The sequence below is a fragment of the Homo sapiens genome, chromosome 7 (assembly GCF_000001405.40).
Source record: "Homo sapiens chromosome 7, GRCh38.p14 Primary Assembly".
Lineage (NCBI taxonomy): Eukaryota > Metazoa > Chordata > Mammalia > Primates > Hominidae > Homo > Homo sapiens.
The window spans coordinates 156,170,959-156,180,182 of NC_000007.14; the positions used below are offsets into that span (position 1 = coordinate 156,170,959).

Genomic DNA, 9,224 nt, shown 5'->3' on the forward strand with positions numbered 1-9,224 from the left:
CGGTGGGGTGGGGGGGATCACCTGAGGTTGGGAGTTTGAGACCAGCCTGACCAAAATGAAGAAACCCTATCTCTACAAAATTAGCCAGGTGTGGTGGAGCATGCCTGTAATCCCAGCTACTCATGAGGCTGAAAAGAAACATCCCTCCCAGGACGCTGTCTCTGCCTTCCCGAGTCCCAGCATGCTCCCTCTGCTGTGAACTCCTAGAGCACCTACCATTTTGGAGCCTAGTGTGGCCCCTCAGATGTGGCCTCTCCTGGAGAGAGCTGTGTGCTCCTCTCTGTTCTAGGCTGACACTGTCCTCAGACAACCAAGGGCAGCTTCCAGCACAAGCTGTGTGTGACATGGAGGTTTCCTAGTAGCCATGTTGTTGAAAGTAAAAAAAAAAAAAAAAAAAAAAAAAAAAAAAAAAAAAAAAACAAAACAAAACACAGGTGCAATTCATTTTAATACTATATATTTGAAACTGAACAACCTAAAAGATTAGGTTTCAGCATAGAATTAACACCAAGAACTCTCAGTGGTGGGGTCACATTCTTTTCCTAAGTCTTCAAAACCTAGAACGGCACATACCAGTTTGGGCTGGCCACCTTTCCAGGACTCAGGGACGACGGAGGCAGGTGGCAGCCACACTGGGTGCAGCTCGAGACCAGAGTGTTCTTGGGAAAGACAAAAATGAACTTTCACAGGATAATCTCACATGTAGGACCTGCAAGAACTTTTATGAAAATGGGACAGAGTACTCAGTAAGTTCTTTGTCATACTTTGCCATGATGCATACCAATTTGTGGCTGCCCTTGTCCTATTTTAGGTATCATACTTTCTGGCACTGATTTTTCAGGAATGCCATTAAAAATCAGGTATGCATCAAATCCCTGTGTCTGCCCTGTCTGCTTTAGACAGTCCTGCCTTGGCTCCCAGTAACTTAAAGACTTGCTCCATCATTGGCCTGTTCCACGACACATGCAATAGTTTCCTGAGCTTTTAAAACACCAGAGCTGCCACTCAGTCCACAAATGTTATGCAAGTGTGCAGGAGACCACAGGGAATGACAAACGGGAGATTCCTTCTTCTCCCCAGGAACTTATATGAGCAAAATGGATGCCCACTCATTCCAGCGAACTGTGTATCATTTCCAAGTGGCAAAGGTTCTACCTGCTCTTCTTTAAACTCTGGAGCATTTTAAAGCAGTCCAAGGAGCATAGCAGAGGCCTTTCTCAGTGGAATGTACAAACACGTTCTGCAGAAGAGGCTGGTTTGCAAATGAACCTCAGCATCTTTCAGTTCCATGTTAGTTTATTTTAAGTCTTAAAGAAAGACACAGCAAACTAGTTTTTCAGGTCTCCTGAGGGGATTTCAAAGGCAAAAATCCTGAATTGCTCCATAGAGTAGAGGTCTGGTTGAGTTGTAAATTGTTGGTTATACCAGAGGCATTAGAACACATCTATAAACTCATGTCAAAAAATAATATCTCACCAAGGAAGACTCTGATATTAGGAACATTAAATAATCCACAGTTATGAATGATTTGGTTCTTTCCTATTGATACGTACATTTGCACCTCTTAGTCATAAACATTGTCAACATGTTCCTTCGGTGAACATCATTTAGACTCATGCTCTTTGATAATGTTTTTAAAAACACACAGGTCCTTCTTTAACAACACCGGATATTGCTGTGTTTGATTGCTGTCTGAAAGCTTAAGGCATTTTTATAATGAAAGAGTTATGCTTTCAAAAATCCCCCAAATTATAAATAGAGCATCCTGCCTCCTGCTTTGCCACAGAAGGTAAGGCAGATGCCTCACCTCAACACACCCCTGACAGCAGCCGCCACCAGGCCTGGTGGACTGCATTGCTAGGGCAGAGAAAGATGGAAAAATTTTAGGATGAGAGTTACGGAATAAGGTGGTCCGCGTTGACCAGCAAAGAGAAAGCCTGTACCTGGCGGACCCAAGCACACAGCCACCCGAAAGGTACTCTCAGTCACAGAGAAGTGATCCTGCAGGCAGCACACTGTTGGGAATATCCCTTCTGTCCTCTTGCTGCCTGAGTGAAGGCTTGCTGAGCAAATGTCTGATGAGCCCATAGCTCTCTAGGAGAGAAGTGACCTGGGTACCTAGGAAGGGACTCAACTCCCTTTCATCATTGATATTGAACTGGTTCTTGGCTCATTCGTTCCCTAAAGTTCAAGACCTGGAATGTGTTACCTAGAGTTCTGCAGCTTGCCAAGAAGGTGAGAGAACAAAGCCTCTCTGTCTCCTCCCCAAGGGCCAGGCTGTCCCCACAGTGATTGTCCTGCTCTGAACTGTCAAAAGTAGACTGCAGCCTCTGGAATTTCCTTGGTTCTCCAAGATAGGTGTGAGATTGGGTGAGACATCAAGATCAACGGGACATTTGGGCCTCCGAGAGGAGAATAGGGCAATCTGAGGAGACGGGCACGGCAGGGCTGAGGCTGGAGGAAGTGAGAGGAAGTGAGAGAGGGAAAGGAAAAGAGAATGGAAAGTGAGCAGTGAAAAGCCTTGAAGCTGCTGCCGCGTCTCCTCTGGGAGGCCTGACTGGCCCGTGCTGCCGGCCCAACACGCTCCATCCCTCTGAGCTGAGGCTGGGCCAGGCCAGGCCATTTTGTGTTGTCCTAGACCAGCACGGTGGTGGCTCTGAATGCCAGTGCCCTCCAGAGACAGGGCCAACCCGGCTTTCGGATTTGAGGAAAGAGCAAAGTCCTGGCTTTGCTCTGTCCAGGTCCTGTTGCCCCTTTCACAGAACACACAGCCCGAAGCTTCCAGCCCCTCTCTCTTGACCTCCAGTTTCCTCTCTCTCCCTCTCATTTTTACGTGTGTGTCTGTGTTGAGCGTGTATGTGTGTGTCTGTGTGTTGAACGTGCATGTGGGTGTGCAAGTGTGTGTCCACTCCCGAGGGGGCAAACCCACCTCTGCTAGGGGCAACTCTGTCCCCAGCCCTCAGGAGTGCCTGGCTCATGTGAGAGGCTCAGGGCGCATGTGCTGAACGGGTGACAGCTGCTGGGTGGTTCTCGACAGTGAAGGGTGAGGCCAGGGCTCCACATAACGCAGTCGGCTGAGACCTTCTCCAAGGCATGTGGGATCCCAGGGTCTTCAACGTGGTGGGCACTCCATAAACCTCGTCACGGACCAGCGAGCCTGTGAGCTGTTGACTCCAAGAGGTATCCCTGCTTCAGCTCGTCTTTCCTGCCCTGCTGCTGAAGACACTCGCACTGCTGTTCAGCTTCCAGAGGACCCCAGGTGCAGGGCTTCCTACAGCCGTCCATGCTGAGCCCAACACCCCAGGGCTGCGTGGTGGGCAGCAAGGGCTATTTCCAGAAGGCCCTTCTGCTAGGGATGCTCTCCTCCTGCCAGAATCCTGACAGCGTGCACCTGCCAGCCCCGGGAAGGGGCTGAGATGTCAGCAGAACACCCTCAATGCACGGCCAGCTTTGAGTTTGTTGGAACATGGAGGTGGAAACAGAGAGGGCTGGCAGAGAAAGGGGCTACAGAGGAGCAAAGGGCAGAGGCCGGGCACCTGGGAGGGGGCAGGGTTCCCATCCAGCCCAGCTGGGCCACACAGCACGGGGAGCAGAAGGAGAAGAACGGGACAGAACACTTGAGGCGTGGCCTACGCCGCTCTGGATTGCCGGCTCACAGGTCGGGGGTCAGAACCCAGGCTCTCTGGCATGATGAACAGGAGTTTACAGAAATCGGAGAAGAATGGGGGCGTGAACAAACCCACTCAGGCGGGCCTTCGCCACGCTGTCCTGGAGGCAGTGGGGGCTGGGGCCCCAAGACGCTGCCCAGATCAGATAGGCTATATCGGCCATCGTGGATGTGGCTAAATTCCCTCTCTTGGCGTTGAAGGGAAGAAATAATCCCTCAAACCACAGTGAAATCTTGAACATCCAAGAAACACCCTCAGCAGTTCTCTACCTACCAGAGCACATTTCCCTGAGGTGGGTGGGTGTGGAGAGAGTCAGGGGCTGCTTTGGGGCATCGCCTACTATACGGAAGCTGGGCCCGGTTCTGGCTCCAGTGGTGCAGGGGCCCTGGGTGCTCAGATGGAAGGGCCTGAGCCAAGTGCTGGGCAGCAGATCTTTCATCTGCTCCTCTCAACAGCCCTGCCCCTGGGGACCACATCCCGCACAGCCATAGAGACAGGAACTGGAGACTGGCTACAGCTACTCGGTGAGCCCTGAGCCTGAGCTGTGTCAGGCCTTTCCCAATCCACGTGGCACCACTCCGTGGACCAGCTGAGGCCTTGAACATCCTCACCGCCGAGGCATCGAAGGGAGTGTAGCTATGGGGGTGCGGGTGACCCTTCTGTGCCTCCGCACCAATGGAACTCCCTTCCTGCGTGGTTCTCAGCCCCTGAATGACTGCTGTCCCCAGCCCCTGCCCTCTAATCTCAGACACACACTCTATTGCCCAAGGTGGGCAGTGCTGGGCCCCCGCCACAACGCCTGTCTGTCAGTCTTCAACCTGTTTCCCCATTCCTGTTCTTTTTGTTGACTCTGTCTGGTGGGCCCCGGGGGAGTGGGGGTAGAAATCCTGCATGGCTGAGAGTTTCTGGGCCCACAATGGGCGGCCTGCTGTTCCATGAATTTTCAACTTTCACCCACACAGACTCAGGCAAATATTGTACATCATGGCAAATGAATGGGCATCCCACTGAAGCTTAATAAATCAGTTCTGCCAAACTGCCACCTCCCAATAAAAGTCAGTCATTGCCAAATTTCAGTGCTCTAGTCCAGGAATTGGATGGTGTTTTCTCTAGAGGGCCAGATAGAAATGCTTAAGGCACTACAGGCCATACAGTCTCCATCAACTCTGCATGGTGGCATGGAGATAATGTATAAGTGAATGAGGGTGGCTGTGTTCCAATAAAACTTTATTTACAAAGATAGATGGGGGGCCGGATGCAGCCTTCAGGCTGTAGTTTGCTGACTCTGTGTTCTTTCCTGCATCTGGTCAACATGGGGTGTGTCGAGGACCTCCAAGGTCACTTACCCCACCCCTTCCTTTCATAGAGAAATGAAGTAATCTTCCCATGCCACATGAGTTTGTGAATAGCTGAGCTGGGTCTTGGGTCCCTGTCCACACCTCTGCTCGGTCACTTTATCCTTTCCTCCTCTTGCCATTGGTGAGCTCGCTCCCAGGACAGTCAGAGTGGCTGTGTTCCAATGGCCTGGGCTAAGGGATAGGGGACATATATGTCACCCTGGAGTGGCCCTGGCCTGCATTCTGGCTGGAAGGTCCGCATTGCACACCCTCCCTACAGGCTCAGCTTGTGCCGTGGCCGCAGAGTCATAAGCTGCAGCCCAGACCACAAGTCCCTCAGAAGGTGGCTGCATTTGGAAATGGGGTCTAGACAGAGGGAATCAGTGAGGTCACTAGGGTGGCCCTTGTTCAACGTGACTGATGAGGAGAGGATATCAGGACACAGACTCGCACAGAGAGGCTGTGTGAGGATGCAGGGAGAAGACAGCCATCTACAAGCCAACGAGAGAGGCCCCAAGAGGAACCAATCCTGCTGACATCTTGATCTTGGGCTTCAAGGCTCCAGAACTGTGAGAAATAAATTTCTGTTGTTCAAGCCCCAGCCTGTGCACTTTGTTATGGCAGCCCCAGGGGGACTCACAGCGTGTCTGCAAGGAAGGGATTGCATTGGCGACGTTCCTAAGAGGAAGTGAGGCCCAGGTCTCCACCTCACTGGCTAGGACATCACCTTGGCTCTTCCTCGGGCCGCAGTCTTCACACCCTCCCTCTGCAAGCTGCACTGGGAAGTCCATTTCATGTTCAAAGATACGGGGTCAGAGTCTGGAGATCGAACGCTGAGGGTAATGTTAAGGGGCCTGCAGAGCTGTGGCCAGGAGGAGGGGGCCTTGAATGAGGTGGGTCGTCTCCACACTTTGGGAGCCATAGAAATGCTCAAAGGCTAAGGTGGCTGCAGGGCCCTTCCTGAGGTTAAATCCTCTCAAAGCAAGAGTGGTCCCACATCAGGACTCCGGAGGGCTCCAGGAAATACCGGCCTCATGGCAATCCAACAGCAACAATCCTCATTTATCGAACAGAGCAGGAAATACTTCAGGCCTCCTGGAGGAGAGCTACTAAATTAAAATAAGTGGCCAGAATGTCCTTGAAGACTTTAATCTTTCTAATTTTTTCCTATATCTTCTAAGATTATTTTCGTTCTGAAATGAATCGGGAATGACACCAATTGGCAGGAATTTCTTATCCCCCACCCCAAGATACACAGACCCAGATTGACAATGTCTCTTTAAGACTCCAACCCCAAATTTTGCTCTCGTGGTTTTCAAAATAAAAACATGTGATCAGTCCTTTTTATTGAAAAGAAATTTTTTAGGAAGACTAAGAAATATTACACTCGATTAGGTCTGTCTCTGCCCAGAATTGGAAGAGAAATGGTGAAACAAATTATTTTCCCCTACAGAAAAAACATTGCCAGAGGGAGAAAAATAAAATGATTTGACAGGTGCAAGGAGCCCCGAGGTGTGGGCTCGTGAGGCTCGTCCCCGTGGTGCAGCGCAGACCTGAGAATGAATAAAAATCTTTCCTAAGCACTCCAGGATGCTCTGTGTACGCGTGTCAGAGACAATGCGGACCGGCTCGAGGGGCCTCCGCGTCGTGGCCTCGTGCCAGCCTCACCACAGCTGTGTGGTACATAAGAATCACAGCAGCTGTATTTAAACTAGAAATTAAATCTCCTTTTATTTAATGTGCACAGTCTTTTTAGTTATCAAAAGGAAACATTAGCAATTAGGGAATGTGTATCTCGTGGATGGCGTTGGATTTGCTGTTTTTGTTTTGGATGTCTATGATGTCTAATTCTAAGGCAGGATGACGGCGGCGGCCAGGTCTCTTGAAAGAGGGAGCTTTTCACTACCTTTTCCTTTGTCAGCAGACAGGGAATTTCAGACGTGCCCTTCTCCCCACTTTGGGAGAGGGCTGGGGAACCACAGGACTTTTATTCTTTATTGCGTTTGGTTTTGATTTGGATGCTGAAGTCGGGGAAGAGGGAGAAGTGGGTAGGGAAGAGGAGAGAAGAAAGAAGGGGAAAGTGAGGAGAGGGAAGAAGAGAAGAAAAGAGAAAAGTATTCGGGTGATGAGTGAACCAAAATCTCAGAGATCACTGAAAACTTACTGATGTAGCCAAACACCACCTGTTCCCAAAAACCTACTCAAATAAAACATTTAAAATTAAAAAATAAAAAGGAAAAAAATAAAAGAGAAAAGTGAAAGAGGAAGAGGAAGAAGAAAAGCAGAAGAATGCACACGCTGCACACTCAGACACACGGAGGCTGAGAAGATCCACGCTTACATTGCGTGGGGACGGGGAAGGAGCAGGCCTCTCCGGGGACATCTCTGCAGCCTCTGCAAGGCCATCCTGCTCCGGAGGGTGACTGTTAGCATGAGCCTGCGGTGACAGGGAGGCAGGAAGACAGCGCTCCCCTGCTAAGCTTTGGCACATTCTCCCCACCAGCCAGGCTGGAGTTCGTATAGAAGGGAGAGGCGGGATCGGGGGCGAGGAAGGGAGGGCGTGAGAGTGAAGGCAGAGGAAGGAGAGAGGAGGTGAAGGCTGGGAGGGAAAACCGAGGTGGCAGCATCTTCTTAAAAGCTGAACTTGAAATTCTCAAAAAGAAAACTAAAGGGGCACCTTCCTTCCTTGCTGTCTGTTGAAATCTGGCCCCTAGTGTTGCTGACGATGGCGGGAGCATGTCGTGGACCCGAGGCAGCCACAGGCTTTCCTGATGATTCATGATAATGGTAATCATTTCTTCCATAGCATCTCCCTTTGCACTAAAGTGTGCTCACTGCATTCGTCAATAGACCTTTATTTAAACCTCGTGGCAGGACAGCTCAGGCCTCCACTCCGTGCAGGAGGAATCCAGGCCCAGGCCCAGTCCTCCTCAGGGCCACGGAGGCACTCTACGTCTTTCAGGAGGAAAACTGATACAGATCATTCTCATAAAGTCCATGCAGGCCCTGAGGTTACCACAGAGGGGCCGCTGCACCCTTTGGCATCATTAGAGCCCAGAGTCAGGGCCCTTGCCAGGAATAAGAGCCGCAGAGAGGCCGGGGCAGCAGGGCAGGCGGGGGAAGAAGTGGCACAGGCTCCTTTCTCCGCCGCCCCACAGGTTTCCACCTGTGCCTCCTGTTGGCCAAAGCTACAGAGGAGCCGGAGGTCAAAGGCATCCGGGAAAATGTAGGGCCCTGTGGCGTACCCCACAGCGGAAAAGGGGGACCATGGATCTGAGAGCAACAGGAAGCTGCTTGGGGCCCAGAGGAGCAGAGACGGGGAGTCGGATGTTGCCCGGAGCTCCCAGCTGGCAGATCGAAGGCTCTCCAGCCTGTGTGACGTGTCTCCCGTGTGTTCTCCAGTCCTGGCAAGGGACTCTGGCAACGTCAGCACCAGAAGAGATGGGAAGCCTTCCAGCCCTGCTTGGGCAGGTTGAGTAGCTACAGCCCAATAGGAGCAGAACATTCTCGAGACACATCAGAGATGGCAGGAGCTGTTCCTGGGGATCTGCAGGGTCGCTGGGGTAGAGGGCAGGCCAGAGGTGGGCATGGGAACTGCCTTCCTGTCATCTTGAGCCTTGCTGGCTCCCAAATGAAACTTCCAACGCCCTAAGACTCCAGGACCTGTCCCCGAGTGATGGAGAAACCTGGCCAGAGGTGACATGTAGGCGAGGATGTCTTTAAGGCCCCAGGTTTAGACTTTTTAAAGTGGAGAACAGCTGACAGTGGTGCATACCAATTTCAGCAGTGTTCTCATTGGTAGTAAGGCTCACAGAATTGCCCTCGCAGGACTGTCCTCAGAAACACTGTTTACAGCCATGAGCCACAGTTCATCCCAAATAAAGTCACCCAACTCATCCCCCAGCCATATTCCTGAGTGATTTTTACTATTTCCAAAAATTAAACCTAGACTTAAAGGATCAATACTTGCTGCTGTGAAAATATTCAAATGCTATGCTGTACACATTGAAGCCGCGCTGTAAAAGGACTCCCCAAAGTATTGTGAGTGAAGACAGCCACATTCAAAAGAGACAGCAGGTTCTCAGCAGACCCTTCCCGGGGGATGTGCTACACACGCGTTCTTGTCATCACAGTCTCACCTCGCTGCACAGACCTGTGGAACTGGCCACCTTGGGGTTGCTACGAGCCACTGGACTCGTCTAAATGACCAGGAGATGCC

The 9,224-nt window shown here is 51.1% G+C and overlaps 1 annotated feature.

Annotated features, from left to right (window-relative positions):
- Positions 7,774–8,274: an enhancer, noted in NCBI's record as "H3K4me1 hESC enhancer chr7:155971426-155971926 (GRCh37/hg19 assembly coordinates)". NCBI's record gives its function as "activates a minimal SCP1, AML or CMV promoter by ChIP-STARR-seq in primed H9 embryonic stem cells {active_cell/tissue: H9 hESC(primed)}" and the evidence as "EXISTENCE:reporter gene assay evidence [ECO:0000049][PMID:30033119]".